At 36.3% G+C, this 20,642-nt stretch overlaps 1 protein-coding gene across 8 annotated transcripts in view; it reads left to right on the plus strand.

Annotated features, from left to right (window-relative positions):
- The window catches only part of CNTN5 (contactin 5), a 1,337,937-nt gene that overhangs the window by 1,217,949 nt on the left and 99,346 nt on the right, over nucleotides 1-20,642 (plus strand). For 7 of the 8 annotated variants that reach the window (XM_017017926.2, NM_014361.4, XM_011542871.2 and 4 more), the window contains one exon: nucleotides 16,863-17,021. In XM_017017926.2, coding sequence (XP_016873415.1) covers nucleotides 16,863-17,021 — 159 coding nt within the window. Of the gene's footprint in view, nucleotides 1-16,862; nucleotides 17,022-20,642 lie in introns of those variants that run through there. The other variant, XM_047427131.1, reaches the window with a different exon arrangement.

The following is a 20,642-nucleotide window of genomic DNA, read 5'->3' on the forward strand; positions in this document are numbered from 1 at the left end:
ATTCTAATGGTGATAGAGTACATTTTGACTACCTCTCCTTCCTCAGGCATTTGAATACTGAACATGTCTCAGATTGGCACGTTGATAGGCTTGGCATAATTGGGTTCTCTGTCAGTTTGCTGTCATTAGGATGAGCTGTGAATCACCATTAGGGCCATCTCAGTATATTCAGTTAACTGAGCTGATGAAATCTTGCATTCGTTTCCTGAAGTTGGTTGCACATATTAACATCTATTTATATTATTAAATATTCCATTGTGTTGACATCCATCCTTGAGCAAAATTGTAATGGATATCTTAGTTTACAGAAGGACTTTTCATGTGTGAAGTAAACACTGAAGAGCTTCAAGTGTAGTTAAACAAAATCACCAAGAAGATATAATTGAGTAAAAAGAAAGTTAAATATATAAATTATATTTCATTCTAGATAATATGTGTAGACCACGTCATATTTAGAGGTCATAGTTCAAGGGTACTGCTTTCATATCAGTGATAATCATCACTATATGCCTATGTAATAGTCATCAGGTTTATATCACATAAAATAAGAAATAAATATTTATTATAAAATGGAGCTAAATCACAGTATTCAATATTTATAAAATGTAAATATGCATTCTGTTAATGTTTACATAGGACTTTGCCATACCTTCAGTTGACAGTAAAGCAATGCAAAAATTATAATAAAGAGTAGAAAGCCTTTCAAAACACCACCAATGACACTAAAAGATTTGAAAATAATTGCAAAGTAGAATAATCAAATAAAATAGTCAGATTTTTTAAACAATAAAACCGAATAGTGTGAATGACTTTCAAGTTATTCTAGAATTGTCTTTAACTGTAAAACATTCTAGGACAAACATACAAAATCTCAAGAAAAGGAAATATTTTGCAAGTTACATAGGGTAATTATACTGAAGTGTCAGCATTCTCATTTGTCAGCACTCTGATTTGGTTAATTTAAATGTTCATTAATCACAAAAAAAGAATGGCATAAAACAAGCCTGCTTGAATTATATGTTTTGCTCAAGAGGTTATTGATTCATATAATTATTTCTTTCATACTAACTCAAGAAATAGAACTGTTATTAGTAAACTTCATTTGAAATACTTAATCACTGTTGCAAAGATGTTTTATCACCTGATCTGTATGAATCAGTAAATCAAAGCTCACATATTTGTTTCAAAACTTCAGCTCACAGATGTTAAGTCAAGATAATAAGCAGCATCAATCATACCTCACTGAACAAGATAGTCTGCATTACAGACACTCTCCCTGTAATCCATCCATTATATGGAACATCTGTTACAAATTATCAACACCCCGCCCCACACCCCCCGACCCCCGCCAGGGACTGCTCTATTTAAGTGCTTCTGCAATAACCCACTGTCTCCATTTCTCCAAATGAGTTAGATGGTGGCATCGGGATAGTACCAAGTTCACTGTCACCGTATGACAGCAGTCATCTTTCAGTCTGTGCTGAACTCCAATGGCACACTGCATAATGGTAAATGTTCTTCCTACAGTTGTATAGCAGAAATCCTCAGAGCATAAGCTAGTAGCCATCAGGAAACCACTGACAGTTCTTTCTCCACTATATATCAGTCATTGCCTAAGTTAAGCACTTAGTGTGTAATATTCATTGTTTTTCAAGTCCTTAGGAGAATATTGATTTGCTCATTTAGTTAAATATAAAATTAATGAGCCCAGATACATGTTTGTCAACTTTGGCTTATTTCCATGATCATGAAACATGTCTTGTAGAACATGTTGGTTTCCAGAAAAATCATGAGAATCTAAATAAATAAAGCAAGTACAAATTTATACTGCAGAAGAAGAATATTTTTTAAAGTGCCCTAGAGTTTACCCATATATTGTCAAGGTTGCACCTGTCTTAAAGAGAATGACTTTATAAATGTGTTGTCCTAGTGTGTCATTGGAAATAACAATTTCAAATTTACTCTGTGATAGGTTTGTGAAAATAAGTTACAAGGATATCTATTAATCATTAATAAGTGAATAGTGAGACTGAACAAATGTAAAAGTCCATATAGCCACACTTTATTTTCTTGATGTTAGTCTGCATTGCAGAATTCTAATGACACATACACAGTAAACCCAATATTGGATTTATAGAAAACTTTGTACAAACATGGTACTTTCCATATTTTAGCACCTCATATGGTATTTTCCTACAGGATTTCATTAGCTCATCTGTTCTTAGTGTTTATGCAATAGTAGTTTAATAAATAAATTTCAGGATAGCATCTAGGTTGCGTGAAGTTTTAAATAAACAAGTTACCTATTTGTAATTATTCGTACCAGTTTGTAAAAATACATCCTAAAATATCTGTTTTCCATTTCAGGATCACCTTCGATGGATGGACAGCATTACTTTTATAGTGGACTATATAAAGTGTCTACAAGTGTCTACAACTTCAACTCATGTAAAACTACATTAAATATTTATGCCTACTTTACTGCCTGGAAATCTTGATTAATTTACCTTTCACCTGAAGTTTGTGATAACTGACCAGGAAGTGTTTGTTTTTATAAAAAGGAAAAAACATTATTAAATAAACTTTTAAACATAGTGCTCTAGGGAGTCTTACGTTGGCAATTAAAAGCTTCAGCCAAAAATGACACAAGTCCTTTTGGCTCACAACTCACTAGTCTGAACCTATTACAGAGCTACATACAAAATGAAGGCATCAGAGTTCAAGTCTTCAAACGACAATCACATATTCACAAATTATACTTATCAGGATCAATGTCATTAAATTTCTTTGTATAAGGCTTGTGTGGGGAAAGGATGGTTTAATTTTTGCTTTTGCTTACAATGCAAATGGAAAAATAATCATGCTCTAAGTAAGACCGCAAGAGACCAGCATGCAAAGGATCCTCAGAAACTATCACTGTCATTGAAACCATGCTGACAGAATCTACTGAAAAAGTAACTGCCTGAAGCATCACAATTTACATTTGTTACAAAACCTTACTGCTAAGAAAAAATACTCATATGTTTTTAATGATTTAGATTTTCCCCAAAACAGTCCTACAGCCTTTGAGAGCTTTCATCAAATGTTTGCCTTATCGTTTCAATGGCTTCTTTCTTTGGACTTCTCTCATATGCTATCCAGTGGCTTCTGATTCACACTCAAAATAAAATCCAAGTTCCTTGCTATTGCCTTCTAATCCCTGTATAAACTGGCACTTGCTAATCTTTCTGACATTATCACCTCCACTCTCCTCTTGCTTTGCTATGCTCCAATTGCCATACTCATTAACACTTACAAATTTTGCCATTGCTGTTCTCTGCCTGGAAAACTCTTGCCCATATTGTTTATGTGGCTGGCTGGCTCCTTCTTATTTATTTCTCAACTCCCTATCAAATGTTGCCTACCTCTTCCCCATCCAATTTTCACCACTTTTTTTTCTTCATTGCGTTTGTTACTATCTGAAATTATCTTTCACTTGTTTATTGACTTTCTTCTCTTTAAAAGTCATAAGCAGTCACCTTCCCTATCTTGTTTACTACCTTAACCTGAGAAAAGTGGTTTAATTGGCTCACAGTTCCACAGGCTGTACAGGAAGTATGGCTGAGGAGGCCTCAGGAAACTTACAATCATGGTGGAATGCAAAAGGGAAGCAGGCACATCTTACATGGCCAGAGCAGGAGTAAGAGAGTGATGGCGGTGCTGCTACACACTTGTAAACAACCAGATCTCAGGAGAACTCACCACCACGACAGCACCAAGGGGGATGGTGTTAAACCATGAGAAATTGCCTGCATGATCCAGTCACCTCCTACCAGACCCTACGTCCAACAATAGGGATTACAATTTGACATGAGATTTGGGTGAGGACACAGATCTAAACCAGATTAACTATACAAATGAATGAATATGTAACCCCTTTTCCCCAAAGAGACTAATTACATTTTTAAAAATCAGACAAAGGAGGAAACATGGAAAGAACATGGAGCAGTCATTGAATAAACAATAATCATAGGCATTTAATATTAAATGTATTGTCATGTCTGATAACTTGTCAATAAGACAGACCAGCAGATACCGCGAAATAAAAGGGTAAGATACCTGAGAATGGTGTGGTAGGAGAGGGTTTTTAGGAATTCCCTTTGAAGCTTGGCACTTCCACCTCTGTAATCCTTCAGAATTTTCTCACGCTGCATCCTACTTTCCACCTCACCCTGTTCTTTGTAGTGTGCACGTGCGTGTGCACACACAGACACACACATATACACTCACTCCCACAAGAAACATGATCCAAATATTAAAAATTAAATGCAGATAGCAAAGAACGATTCAGATGCTGAATTCTGGCTACAGGGAGTGTATAGCAAAGAAATTAGAAAATCTAAACCAAAGGCTTCAGTGTTCACTGACATTTTATGTGCAAGAGGGGAGTTGCTATACTATCAGTTGATACATCAACCAGCTGAAGACCTTAAAATCTTGCCCAATTTGCAGCTACAGTGGCCCTAACTTGTGGCCTAGAAGCCCTGCCATGTATACCTTGATCTCCACCTTGGGACAGGAAACCTCTGACAACAGCTTCTTTAATCTACTTCATCAGGTGCTGCTTCTCATTTATGGAGCCTTGCCCTGAGTGTCACATAGATTCCATTTAATTTGTGTGGTCACCAGCTACACCTAATTAAATTCCTACCTGAAACTGCTGACTTCCATGATACCTCTCATGCCAACTTTTAAACTCAATTACTTCTGTTTCTGCACATGAGCAAACCATAAGGCATAAAGAATCAAATGAAACAGCACTGACTCAGCACCAATAAAATTGTGTTTTTCACTTCATATAGATTTTGATTTCTGTTCATCAATATCTCAGTTCATGACTGATTCCCCATCATGTAGTCATCACAATGATTCCTGACCTTTTGAACCCTCTTCAGTCTCCAAATTAGCATCTTCTCACCCCTGTACTTCAGTATGATCAGAATGTATTTCAATAAAAATTAATTTTATTAAATTGAAAATAAAACTTCTGAGATCCTCCTCCAGACTCTCCCTTTATTCTGCCAATATTCTTCCAATTTATCCAAGTATGAAATTTTGGAATAATGTTTCATTCTCATTATTTACTTTTCCTTTATTAAGCCTAATGTCTCAGTCCACCTCCAGTTCAAAAAAAAATGTACTGGTTTCCACTATCTACATAATTAAGTACCAACTCATTGCTGTGGTGTTTAAGGTCTTCCCTTAACCAACTTTCCTACACCTTTATGGACTCTTGGTTCTCTGATCAAACTTAAGCCATCAGCTTCTCCTCTCTTCAAAATGCCTTAGATTTTTCAGTCTTTTGGAATATTTGTTTACTTATTCCCTTTTTCTACCAACAAAATAGTCATCTTTTTCCTCTTTAACTGCTAGCCCAGAGCAACTGTTTTCTTGGAATCCTCACTGAAAAACTCATCCCTCCAGCCTCAATATCTAACAAACTTTTTGAGTCCAAGAGATATGGAGTGAATTCCTAAGTCACTTAGCTGGAAAATGGCAAGGCCTGAATGAAAACCTATGTTTCATGGTAGCTACTCAGCCTTCATCTTTCAAAACCTTCAAGTTTAACTTTTTATTTCTATCTTCACATGATAGTTCCTACAATCCTTTTAGGCCTTTTTTAAAATGAAGGTAGCAGTGGGGAGCACACAAAATATTCAGTCATGATTTGTGAAATGGGGATGTTTTTGCTCTAAAATTCTTTTTCTGGTTTCCAATACTTTGTTGAACTTTGTGGTCATAGGAATATATTGCTATAATAGGATATCTGTAATATGTCCCAAGTGTCTATCTAAAAGTGATAATTTCATTATCCTATTGGAAAATTTTCAATCATTTAAGAAATTTTACTGCATATTTTGTTTACCTATCTGGCTGTTTGTTTCGGCTAGCTTTTCTGTCAGTTTTCCCAGTTGATTTGTCACTTTTAAATTCTAATGGATTTATCTGGAATAATTAGATAATTGGAGATCTTTCTTTCAGGTTACTTATGCTAATATAACCAGTCTTAGCAAATATAAGAAATTACCACTTTTAATCCTTTATCAACTAAAGGATTTCTCAGTTATCCTTTATATCTTAGAATGTGTCCACTTGTAGATAATATAAAGCCTAACTCAAATTGACTTAAACAATAAAGAAATCCACTGATTTTCATGACAGGAAGTTAAGCAGGTGTTTGATTAATCTAGTGGCTCAACTTTTTATGCAAGGGCCCACAGGTTTGTTTTGTCTCTCCACTCCATCATCTACAATTTTGGCCCTACACTAAGGCTGGTTTCCACTGTAATCACAGATTGACTTCCAGGAATAACAGAGGCTAAATCTTTCTTGTTCACATACAACAGGAGAAGGAGCTAGTGTATTTCTCCCAAACTTCATACAAACTTGCATCGAACCATCTGGTTATACCATTTTAGAGAATGTGCTTACTCCTGAACAAGTCTCTGTCACAAGAAGATTGCCGTGATCTGATTGGCTTAGGCCTAGCTTCCTGAACCAATCCTTAGCAGGGGCACATGAGATTGGCAGGACTGATATAGGCTAATCAAGGCCATTCATATAATGAGGAGGAGGCAGAGGGGTTAAGTCCTTATACCACACTGAGACAAGTAGAGTGAATATTAGGGAGTCAACCACAAAGTCTACTTTATCTTTAGCAAGCAGAGGTAGAAAAGCTACCTCGAAATTCATTTTCAATCAATAAAAATATTATTTGCCCCTGCTCATAATTTTTAATCTTCTGAAATCTACATGTCCTGTCTGTGCTGAACTATGTAAAGCAGTTTTATGTAGTAATGAAAATCATGGAGTTAAAGCTCATATTCATATGCAAATAAGAATCAGAATAAAACCCCGGAGCCACTTAAGGAATGTTGTTTGACATTACCTTAGGTGAGTTATCTGAACTTTCTGAGGCTTTGCTTTTCATTTTTGGAAAAGGGGTATCAGTACCAAATTAACTATAAAAATTAGAAAATATATAACACTTAGCACAATGCCTTCTACTTGATAGATGAGCATTAAGTCATTATTATTTCAGTATTTTCCCCCATTCCATTATAAGCTCCCCAGATGGTAGAGATTATTGAATATTCCAATGATAGTACATTTTTTCATTTTTGAATGTTTCACATATTTTCTATTTTGCTAAAATCAAATGTGATACATGCGTTCTTGTTTTCATTGATTTAAAAAAAGGGAGCAGTTTGAGATTGATATTGTCAAAGTTACAGACTAGTGAGAGGCCCAGTCAGTGCTAAAATAGTATTTGTCATTTAGAAAGTACTTTGTACATACATCACCCTATGTATTTTTCACAATAATGATATAAGGTTGACATTATCATTCTCTTTATAAAATGCAAGGAAACTGAGACTTAATGAGGTTCAGAAATTTTCTTAAACCTTTTGCATGAAATAGTACTGAAATAAAATTATTCTGACTCTTTGTCCAAATCTCTTTTCTTTAGATCATTTTTTCTTGAAATATAGAGTACATAAACATTTTCTAGGCATCTTGTACAAAATACAAATCCTGGGGCTCTAGTCATAGAAGTTGAAATTCAGTAGCTCTTGGGTACAGCTCATAAAATTTACATTCTTTTTTTAAAACATACCAGAAATTCTGTTGCTCATCACAGTTTGAAAGTTACTAAGAGTCTATTCATTTTTGTTTAGGAAAACAGCATAGAAAGGTGGATATCTAATTAGTAACATTTAACAAATTTGAGAAAGCAGCATAATATAATCCTATTTTTAACATAAATTTAGAGTCTTCTTTCAGAATAATGCTGTAATTTTGTAAAGATGTATTACTTTTTCTCAGATTTTGATTGGCCAAAAGTAAAAACATGTATAAAAATTAAGTCAACGACTACACTAATCTGTTAAGCTAATAAAAATTATTAATTCAATGACTTATTATAAATCTATTTCATAACATACTACGTGCCATGCACTGTCCCCTAGGACCTGAGAATACAATAGTGAGAAAAAAATACAAGCACAATTCTAGCCTTCTTGTACCTAAAATCTAAAGAGGAAAGCCACCACTAGTAAAACAGTCACACAAATAAATAGAAAGTTTTCACTGTGATTTCAACTACTGTATGAATGAGAGGGACATGGTACTATGAATGTATGCAATACAGGAATTTTACTTAGGCAAGGCAGTCAGAGAAGTCTGCTCCAAGTGAACCCTGAGCATAGATTCAAAATGTGAAGCCTAAATAGGTGTTAAATAGGCAAAGTAAGGAGGGACAGGAGTTTCATGCCGAGGAATCAGGTTATGTAGGTGATAGATTAGATACAGGAATGGGCAGAAGGATAGATAATGATGATGGTAACAGATGAATAGACAGATAATAAAAGTTGAGCTCGATCAAATTAATTGAAAGCAAAATTGCTTTTGGAAAAAAAGGAAAGTATAACTGTTTGTTTCTCATTTCCATTCTTGACTACCCCTGGTATAAAGGGTTGGTTACTCTCATGAGACTGAAAACAGTAGGAAGAGGTCACTTAGATTAGATTAGTAAATAGCAAACAAATGTAAGAAAGCCCTCTAGGCTTCATGAGTAACGTAATGGTGGTCAGAAAGTATCTGAGGAGAAGGTAAAGAAGGAATGACCCAATCCCACGTGAAGTTGAACTCTGCCAGCCCGGGATGTCAAGAGTATATCAGGAGACATCATCTTGTATAAAAATAAATATTCTATCAATAATACCATACTTCCTAAATAAGGGTATACCATAATTCTTCATAACTTTATTATAAAGGTGAATACATCAGCTTTGCAGGTATTAATAGCTAATGTACTATGAAAAGTCTAGTCACATTATTAAATATTATTTTTTATTGAAATATTTTTTCATGACTATTTCTACATATCCTTTTCCATTGAGTCAACACAAACTGGTCCTTTGTACTGGATGGTTCATTGTAGATGAGTAAACCGCATGATAAAAATAAGAATTAGTCACCATGGCCTGAGTTTTTCAATTTATCTCTCTGCATTAATCTAATCTTCCAGACAGTAGCTAAACCTCCTTTTCACTTGGTATTAGGATGTGTTTAGGACATTGCTTCCATGATTGATTGCCATGCCTGCTTCCCTTTTCTCCAGAGCATATTCCTGCATGTGTTTGGAAGTGTCTGTCCTCAAACAGTATTTATAGGGTTAAAAATAAAACAACTGGATAACGAGCATATTTGGGATCAAAATTCTCACTTTAATTTTAAATGATTTAAAACAAAGACCTGTTTAATGTTTTGAATACCAGCAAATTTCACTTTTCATTTAAAACTACTATATAGCAGAAACAACAGGGGTCAGGTAGGGTGGCTCGTGCCTGTAATCCCAGCACTTTGAGAGGCCAAGTTTGGGACTGCTTGAGGCCAGGAGTTTGAGACCACACTGGTTAACATAGAGAGACCCCATCTCTATAAAAAAATTAAAAAATTAGCTGGGCATGGTGGCATGCGCCTGTGTCTCTAGCTACTCAGGTGGCTGAGGCAGGAGGATCGCTTGAGTCCAGGAGGTCAAAGCAAGAGTGAGCTAGGATCATGCCACTGCACTCCAACCTGGGCAACAGAATGAGACCATGTCTCTAAAAAAAGAAAAAGAAAAACAAAAAAGCAGGAAAGTCCTTAAAATCAAATAAAAATGAAAACAAACAATAGACGTATAAAGCAAACAGTAATGTATAACAATAGGTGTATTTGTTGAATCAGCAAGTCTCAGAATTTCACAGAAAATATGATGTTATCTATGTGAGAAAAAGCCAGAAAAGTTGCTTGGCACGGAGAATTCATCTTAGCATTGTGCAGAGGCTCTAAGAAGCACTCCTCATGAAGGACTGAACAATCACACCATAAGGACTCTACAGCCTGGCACCACTAGTTGCTGTCTACAAGGAGAATGAGCAATAATTTCACAAGAAGTCAATACACAACTTTCTGTTTGTTAGCACATGAATTTATCATAATTGGACAAATTTGACCCGTTATCAAGACTAAAGCCTGTTCTTGCTTCAATGATTTTACCTTCAAAGCAAGAAGACTCTTTTTGCCTCTGTTTCTGAGGGAGGAATTTTCCACTTTCAAGTACTACTTCCTCATCTGAAAAATAATATGGTCAAACTAGATGACTCCAATTAATTTAAAAATTCTATGACTCTGTAACACTGCTAAATTAGTATATGAAATTGTAGGTCTTTATTTCATATTACCAGTATTATAGTAAGAGCTTTAAAGATTCCAAGGAGATATATATATATGTACACATATACATTTTATTCACTTTTCAGCTTTAAAAGACAATTGCTTCTCGAAGGAAGATTTTCTAACTGAACATTAAATCAACAGAAAGAGTTGATCTGGTATCAGTCTGCAATGCTGGGGAACCCTTTATTGAGGCTAGATTGAATCCATGAGAACATGGCTTCTGCTCAGGGCTTTTGATTTGTCATTTGCTCAGCAGTCCTCCCCATGAAGAAATGAACACACTGTGCCCATTTTTCAAAATTGACTATTTCCAAATACAGTATTTAATTTAGTGATCCTTTATAATAGCATTGTCCCTGAGGAGGAAAAAACAGTTGTCAGATTACTGGCCATTTGACACTGAATCATTATAACCAAGTATAAAATTTAATGAGATTTCTACTGAATGAGTGGCATTTGTGTATCATCTGGACTGTCACACATTTGTCATCACTGAGACGTTTGCTTATTAATCTATCTTCAATGATGCCTTATGTAAATTAGCTGAAAAAGCCTTTTAGGAGAACCTTTCCTCCCTGATTTATTTTAAAAAGTCAAAAAATAGCAAAAGTAGAATCATTAACAGGCCTTAAAAAACAAAGATACTGACTATATCAATAGGTTGATGTAATTCACTCCTAAATATATACAAGAAGCTTATGCCAGGCAGCATTCAGTATATGATGTATAAAAATATTTTTTCAGAAATAAAGTATCGATAAGCCAATTCTAATATTATAACAGTAAATCTTGTTTTCACCTTTTTATGGTTAAAATTTAATGTCTCTTAGAAGGTAAATCACGCTGCCAATTATTCAGAATATCTGTACGTTAATATGTTCATAAAAGTATTTCAGATTTACCATCATTTAGAAAAGTTAGCTGTCCAGAGGCTATAACGCTCTCAGTTTCTAATAAGGATCATCCTTATTATTAAATCATATGAAAGGATTATTTTCTTCATTCATGGAGCTTGTCTGTCATTTTTATTACCACTCTAAACTTGGATGAAAAAAAACCCTGTTAACCCAAATATAGTTTGATTTAACAAAAATGAAACTTAAATCGCATCTCCGTCTAATATAATTATATTTTAAAACATTCTTTTACTTGTTAATTGTTATACAACATTCCACACTCAAAATATAACTCCTCTATCCTTTCTTCCTTTATTTATTTTTCCTTCTTTTTTTCCCTTTCTTCATCTTTCCTTCTACAAATATTTATTGAGGGTCTAATTGTATGTCAAGTACCATGTTGGACGTTCAGATAAGTGGAAGTTACAGAAAAATAAATAGGCAGTTTAATGGCTGCCTAATATTTCATTATAAGAATTTAGAATTTAAACATTACGTGATTATTGGGCAATTTGTTGTTTACAATGGTTTATAATTATAAATAATTACACAGCCACAATCAGTACCTTGGTTATATAAATCTTTGTCCCTCTCACTAATTATTTTCTAAGAACCATATTTGGGCAAATAGACAAATATCAAAAAGAATAAAGAGGATTTATTATGTTGTAAATTATATCTTTTGTTCCAGCTGAAAGTTTAAAAATTATTTAATTATTACCTATTATGAAAGCAATATACCCTTCTTTAAGATGGCTAATTTAAACATTTTCATAGAACTTTAATACTCAGAGAGGCAAATTATTTTATTTAAATTAACAAAGAGTTGTCTTCCACAGTGTCTCCCACTGAGCCTTGCACATAGGCGGTTGTTAAATGCTCTTTGAAGAGATGAATAAATAGAATGGAGGGAATGAAACAGAATAAATGTAACAACATAGAAGAGCTTAATAAATGAGTTTGTTGGCAATTATTCCTATATGGACACGTTAGCTAAATTTCAAGTCTTTTTCATAATATTTGAGGGTCCTCCTGACAGAGTTTCATACTGATGAAAACACTCTTTAGGCAAGTTCCAGTTAGCCATTGCTGCCCCAAAACTTATTAGCTTAAAACATCAATCTGTTATTTTCTGTCATGATTTTAGCAGCTGACAGGCCAGGCAATTCTTGCTCGATTTTCTCATGTAGATGCTGGCTGAAGCTGGAGTCATCTGAAAGCTTCTTTTGTTTATTTTTTTAATTCACAAATAATAATTGTATGTATCCCAGGATGTACATAGTGATGCTTTGGTACATATACTGTACAGTGATCAGATCAAGGTAATTAGCATATTCATCATCTTAAACATTTATCTTTTCTTTGTGTTGGGAACATTCAATATCCTCATTCTTGCTATTTAAAACTATGGATATTGTTAACTATAGTCATCCTACAGTGGTCTATAGCCCTAGAACTTATTCCTTCTGTCTAGCTGTACTTTTGTATCCTTTAACAAATCTCTCCCTATGCTATTCTCCCCCTTTCCCTTCCCAGCTTCTAATGTCCTCTGTCCTTTCTACTTCTATGAGATCCTTTTTTTTAGCTTTCACATATAAGTGAGAACATGTGGTGTTTAACTTTCTCTTCCTGGCTTATTTCACTTAACATAATGTCCTCCATTTCCATCCATGTTGCCACAAATGACAGAATTACATTCTTTTTATGGCTGAATAGTATTCCATGGTGTATATATATCACATTTTCTTTATCCATTCATCTGTTGTTGGACTCCTAGGTTGATTCCATATCTTGGCTATTGTGAATAATGCTGCAATAAACATAAGGGTAAAGAAGTCTCTGATATACTGACTTCCTTTTCTTTGGATACATGCATAATAGTGGAATTGCGGGATCACATGGCAGTTCTCTTTGTAGTTTTTTGAGGATCCTCTGTACTGTTCTCCATAGTGGCTATACTAGTTTACGTTCCCACCAATAGTGTGTAAGACTTCCTTTTTCTCCACATTCTCACCAACAATCGTTATTTTTGTCCTGCTGATGATAGCCGTCCTAACTGGGGTGAGATGATACCTCATGGTGGTTTTGATTTGCATTTCCCTGATTATCAGTGATGCTGACCATTTCTTTCATATATTTGTGGTCATTTGTGTGTCTTCTTTTGATAAATGTCTTTTCAGATGTGACTGTTTTTTAATAGCGTTGTTTGTCTATTTGCTGTTGAAATGTTTGAGTTCCTCATATATGCTGCACATTAATCCCCTTTCACGTGAATAGTCTGCAAATATTTTCTTCCATTCTGCGAGTTGTCCTTTCATTCTGTTGATTATTTCTTTTGCTGTGAGGAGCTTTTTAGTTTGGTATAATCCTATTTGTTTATTTTTGCTTTTGTTGCCTGTGCTTTTGAGATCTTATTCATAAAATCTTTTCCAAAACCAAGGTCCTGAAGCACTTCCTCTATATTTTTTTCTAGTAGTTTTATTGTTTCTGGTCTTATAGTTAGCTCTTTGATACATTTTGAATTGATTTTTGTATGAGGTGAGGGGTGAGAAGTCTAGTTTCATTCATCTGCATGTGAACATCCAATTTTTCCAGAACCATTTATTGAAAAGACTGTTCTTTCCCTAATGAGGTCTGATCTGAAGGCCTCTTCACTGACATGTCTGGTGCCTGGACTTGGATGGCTAGAATAGCTGGATGCAAGTTGGATCTCTCTCTCCACAGACCTCTCTAAATAGCTAATTTGGACTTCTTCACAGAATGGCAATTTCCATGTAATTGGACTGACAACTGTCTTTTCCTATAAAAAGCATTCCAGGAAACCTGTGGTAAAGATGCAAAGCTTAACCTCAACTCAAAATTCACACACAGTCATTTCTACCATTGTCTACTGAGTCAAACAGTCACAGGCCAGCTCAGATTTAAGGAGGTGAAAAAATTGACTCCACCGTTCAATGGCAGAATGGCTTGCATGTTCAGGGAGTAAAGGAAGTGATAGTGGCCACCTTACACACAGGCAGACACAAAGTGATTAATGCTTTCTTCAAATGCCATCTCTATCTCTACAACATAAAGTGTGGCTGTATGTGTTCCCTAACACATACTTTTTCTCTTTCTTTCTTCAGTTGAAGATACTTTCTAAATTAACAGTGAAAACAGTAAAGGTCTCTGTACTCCTTGCTTCCTTCCACAAATTAGGATTTACAATCACATCCAAATTTAAATCTCAGCTGTGCTGTTCCCTAGCAGAGTGATTTGAGCAAATAACTTCTCATTAGAATGAACTCTCTGATACCCAGTGCCTACCATAAAACTTAACATATAATAAGGTTATTGACTAAATAATTTATTATTATTTATTAACTAAGTAATCTCTTTGAGATTCTATTACCTCCTCTATGAAATGGGGATAACAATGCCCACCTCCCAGTGACGAAGAAGTAAATGAACAATTTAATGTTTGCAAACACTTAGTAAGCACCTTAATACAGTACAATACAGTGAGATTATCACAGCTATTAGTATTATTATAGTTAATATTCTTCTCACTATTAAATCATTATAATGTATTGTAGATGCTCCTCTACATTCCTGTCACCACAGTCTAAAAACTTGTTAGACATCTTCTTCAACACCTGGATCTCATTTATTTTCTTTACCTTATCCTTAGTCGCTATTTTAGTGGCTTCAACATTGATATTGGGTGATGCAATAGACATATTTTTTCATAAATCCTAGACCTTATAAACCCTGTAATAATATTCTCAACTTTGCTTTAGATAAACAAAAACCAACTTCTTACTCAAAACCACCCTACCTCTAAAATCACAAATCTGTCAATTTTCTCTTGCAACACAATTCCTACTCTTATATTTTCCTCCCATAACAATCCAGTCTCCTTGACTCCTTTTTTTTATTCTAGTCTGTCAGCCCCATTCTGGCTTCCTCTGACTTGACTCCATGGTTACCCACAGCATTGTCATATTTGATGATAAACAATATCAGAATTACAAACTCCCAAGCCTGAATGGACCCTACTGACTGCTTTCCTGGTCTTGGTCCTGACTTTCCTATCTTTACTGAATTGGTCAGTTTCACTTCAAAATGATACCGTCTAACCAAATTTGAACTCTAGTACTATTCTAGAATATTTGTATTTTCTCTTCATTGCACCCTTTCACTTTTATCATGTGCTATTCCAAAACTTTCCTGTTATATCCTCCAGCCCCCAATCTAATTTCCCGCAATCACCCTAACTCTTGTAGACAGTATTATATTCTTAAGTTTAAAAAATGAGTACCTTCCAAAATGAGTTCTCTCAACGTTTCCCCTTACCATCTCGAAAACTTTAATTATTTTGCTTCCTTCATTTATCTTAGAGGAAAAAATTGTCATTTCTTCTCAAGGTTGCCCTCTAGACCTTTGCCCACGATTCCAACTTTCGGTCACCTTCCTGATAGAATAGTCTCTATCTTCTATATCTTTAGTCTCTTGCATCTGCTGGTGGTTCTTCTCAGGTAACAACGACAACAAAAAAAGTTCGTTCCTTATTTTCTAAAAATGTCATTTGCCCCAATGAGGCTTTTAAACTTTTTCTCCATCTTACTGAAGCTGTATTGTTGATACTCTCTATTCAAAGGTCTTCACCAACTCCTCCATCTGTTCAGCATGCAACCATTTCTTAGGGTTTAGCTCATGTCTCTTAATCAACAAATCCAGAGAGCATTTGTACATAAAGACCAACTCAGAAAATACTTAAAATACTTAAGTTTTTGAAATTCAAAATAAAACATTATTGTGACTTTAATTGTCCATACTATGGAATGGAAGAACTGGCATTGCTTTGTAGCCACTAAAATATAAATACCTGTGCATTTTTAAAATACTATTCAAAATCACCACTAGAAATAAAAACACAATGGCACATTTCTCCTCAAATCTGGTTATAATTCGTTCTTAAAGATGAAGTCCATATGCACACAGATTAGTCAATAATATTCTATACCATTCTTTCATAATCAAAAGGGAATTAATCCTCCTTTATTCACTACCTCCCCACTCCTACCAAGGAAAAAAGGAAGCTAATCATAGATCACAGTCTCCTTTGAACTCCCTACAGAACTTTATGTATGTCTCAGGTCTGGCATATGTCCTTACCTTGTCTATACTATCATTATTTCAGAACCTTTTGCACCTCCCCTGTTAGAGTCTAAGCTATGTGTACTTGATAGTACACATCATAGGGCTTGTACATTGTATGTTCTCTGAACATGAACATTAGCTCTAGCCACTTGTAGTATTTTAGTAAGGATGAGATTTTTTTTTTGTCTCTGTAGCACTGCCTATCATTTTCTGTTGCTGCCTCTGTAAACTGATTGATTTCAGCAGCTGCATTTGATACTGGCATTCACATCTTTGTGTTTGTTTCTCATTATTTTTTCTTTTTCTATAAAATATAATGCTAATTGGTAACTGCCTCTGGGCACAAAGTAGCAGAAAGAAATCAAATCTACAATTAAGTTTCCCCCAGAAATCCTAGACTCCAACTTGCATCCATGACTTTTTGTTGTCAATTTTAATTACTAAATTCATATTTCATTAAGGTGATTACATAGTTGGATGTGCTACATATTGGAAATATAATTTCTCATGGCTCCTGATAATAATTTGTGCTTAACTTTATCCATTGCCTTTGACCTATAGGACCCCCAGGCCCACCTGGGATAGTAATTGTTGAGGAAATAACCGAAAGTACGGCCACACTGTCCTGGAGCCCAGCAGCTGACAACCACAGCCCAATCTCCTCCTACAACCTTCAAGCTCGCAGCCCATTTTCCCTGGGCTGGCAAACAGTAAAGACAGGTAAGAGGCACTAAAGCAACATCAGATATAACCAGAGTGGCCTTCTATCTCATAAGCTATATTTGGCTAAGGTCTTACTATGATTTTTTTGGATTCTGAAATCTCTTTGTTATTTCTTACAATATTGACAATTCTTTGCTTCTTTTTATGAACCTGAGAAGAGCAAGGTACCTTGCTTTCCTCTTTTCAGTTCCCAAAGAGGAACTATATCATGTTGGCTTATTTGTTTGTTGAAATAACCTTAAACTCACATATAAGTTGCAAAAATAGTACAGAGTTCCTGTGGACCCACTCCCCAGCTTCCTGCCATGATAAAATCTTACATAACCATAGTACAATTACCAAATCAGGAGATGATGTTGGTGAATTGATGTTAACTAAGATTCAGACCTTATTAGGATCTCACTAGTTTTGATATGCAATTGTTTTAGTGTGTACTTATATGAGATTCTATGAAATTTTATTATGTAGACTCAAGTAACCATCAAGACAATCAGGATATAGATCAGTTTCATTAGCTCAGTTCCTTTTGCTACTCCTTTCTAGTCATACATCTCTTTTATTTATAAAAAGAAAATCTATTCAGCTGGCAAGATGGCTGAATAGGAATAGCTCTGGTCTGCAGTTCCCAATGAGATCAACGCAGAAGGTGGGTGATTTCTGCATTTCCAATTGAGGTACTAAGCTCATCTCATTGGGACTGGTTAGACAGTGGGTGCAGCCCATGGAGGGCAAGCTGAAGCAGCATGGGGCATTGCCTCACCCAGGAAGCATAGGGGGTCGGAGAATTCCCTCCCCTAGCCAAGGGAAGCTGTGAGAGACTGTGTCATGAGGAACAGTGCACACCAGCCCAGATACTACACTTTTCTCAGAGTCTTCACAACCCACAGACCAGGAGATTCCCTCAGGTGCCTATGGCACCAGGGCCCTGGGTTTCAAGCAGAAAACTGGGAAGCCATTTGGGCAGACATCCAGCTAGCTGCAGGAGTGTTTTTTCATACCCTAGCTGTGCCTGGAATGCCAGTGAGACAGAACCATTCACTCCCCTAGAAAGGGGGCTGAAGCCAGAGAGCCAAGTGGTCTAGCTCAGCAGATCCCACCCCCATGGAGCCCAGCAAGCTATAAGATTCACGAAATTCTCAACAGTCTGAAGTTGACCTGGGATGCTTGAGCTTGGTCAGGGGAGGGGTGTCCACCATTACTGAGGATTGAGTCGGTGGTTTACCCTTATAGTGTAAACAAAGCCACCTGGAAGTCTGCAATGGGCAGAGCCCACCGCAGCTCAGCAAAGCTGCTGTAGCCAGACTGCCTCTCTAGATTCTTCCTCTCTGGGCAGGGCATCTCTGAAAGAAAGACAACAGCCCCAGTCAGGAGCTTATAGATAAAACTCCCATCTCCCTGGGACAGAGCACCAGGGGGAAGGGGCAGCTGTGGGCACAGCTTCATCAGACTTAAACGTTCCCGCCTGCCAGCTCTGAAGAGAGCAGCAGATCTCCCAGCGCAGCGCTCAAGCCCTGCTAAGGGACAGACTGCCTCCTCAAGTGGGTCCCTGACCCCCATGCCTCCTGACTGGGACACAACTCCCAGCAGGGAGTTGTCACCGACACCTCATAAAGGAGAGCTCTGGCTGGCATCTGGTGGGTGCACCTATGGGACTAAGCTTCAAGGAGGAAACAGGCAGCAATCTTTGCTGTCCTGCACCCTCTGCTGGTGATACCCAGGCAAAATGGGTCTGAAGTGGACCTCCAGCAAACTCCAGCAGACCTGCAGCAGAGGGACCTGACTATTAGAAGGAAAACTAACAAACAGAAAGGAATAGCATCAACATTAACAAAAAGAATGTCCACACAGAAACCCCATCCAAAGGTCACCAACATCGAAGACCAAAGATAGATAAATCCACAAAGATGAGGAAAAAACAGCACAAAAAGGCTGAAAATTCCAAAAACCAGAACACCTCTTCTCCTCCAAAGGATCACAACTCCTCGCCAGCAAGGGAACAAAACTGGACGGAGAATGAATATGATGAATTGACAGAAGCAGGCATCAGAAGGTGGGTAATAACTCCTCCAAGCTAAAGGAGCATGTTCTAACCCAATGCAAGGAAGCTAAGAACCTTGAAAAAAGGTTAGATGAATTACTAACTAAAATAACCAGTTTAGAGAAGAACATAAATGACCTGATGGAACTGAAAAACACAGCACGAGGACTTTGTGAAGCATACAGAAGTATCAATAGCCAAATCAATCAAGCTGAAGAAAGGATATCAGAAATTGAAGATCAACTTAATGAAATAAAGTGTGAAGACAAGATTAGAGAAAAAAGAATGAAAAGGAACAAACAAAGCCTCCAGCAAATATGGCACTATGTGAAAAGACCAAATATACGTTTGACTGGTGTACCTGAAAGTGACAGGGAGATGGGAACCAAGTTGTAAAACACTCTTAGGGATATTATCCAGGAGAACTTCCCCAACCTAGGAAGACAGGCCAACATTCAAATTCAGGAAATAGAGAGAACACCACAAAGATACTCCTCAAGAAGAGAAACCCCAAGACACATAATCATCAGATTCACCAAGGTTGAAATGAAGGAAAAAATGTTATGGGCAGCCAGAGAGAAATGTCAGGTTACCCACAAAGGGAAGCCCATCAGACTAACAGTGGATCTCTCAGCAGAAACTCTACAAGCCAGAAGAGAGTGGGGGCCAACATTCAACATTCAACATTCTTAAAGACAAGAATTTTCAACCCAGAATTTCATATCCAGCCAAACTAAGCTTTATAAGCAAAGGAGAAGTAAAATCCTTTACAGATAAGCAAATGCTGAGAGATGTTGTCACCACCAGGCCTGCCTTACAAGAGATCCTGAAGGAAGCACTCAATATGGAAAGGAAAAAACCCATACAGCCTCTGCAAAAACATACCAAATTGTAAAGACCATCAACACTATGAAGAAGCTGCATCAACTGACAGGCAAAATAACCAGCTAGCATCATAATAACAGGATCAAATTTACACATAACAATATTAACCTTAAATATAAATGGGCTAAATGCCCCAGTTAAAAGACACAGACTGGCAAATTGGATAAAGAGTCAAGACCCATCAGTGTGCTGTATTCAGGAGACCCATCTCACTTGCAAAGTCACACATAGGCTCAAAATAAAGGGATGGAGAAAGATTTACCAAGCAAATGAAGAGCAAAAAAAAGCAGGGGTTGCAATCCTAGTCTCTGATAAGACAGACTTTAAACCAACAAAGATCAAAAAAGACAAAGAAGGGTATTACATAATGGTAAAGGGATCAATGCAAAAAGAAGAGCTAACTATCCTAAATATATATGCACCCAATACAGGAGCACCCATATTCATAAAGCAAGTCCTTAGAGATCTACAAAGAGACTTAGACTCCCACACAATAATAGTGGGAGACTTTAACACCCCACTATCAATATTGGACAAAGGAACAAGACAGAGAATTAACAAGGATATTCAGGACTTAAACTCAGCTCTGGACCAAGCAGACCTAATAAACATCTACAGAACTCTCCACCCCAAATCAACAAATGTACATTTTTCTCAGCATCACATCACACTTATTCTAAAACTGACCACATAAT

The sequence above is a fragment of the Homo sapiens genome, chromosome 11, assembly GCF_000001405.40.
Source record: "Homo sapiens chromosome 11, GRCh38.p14 Primary Assembly".
In the NCBI taxonomy this organism is placed as follows: domain Eukaryota; kingdom Metazoa; phylum Chordata; class Mammalia; order Primates; family Hominidae; genus Homo; species Homo sapiens.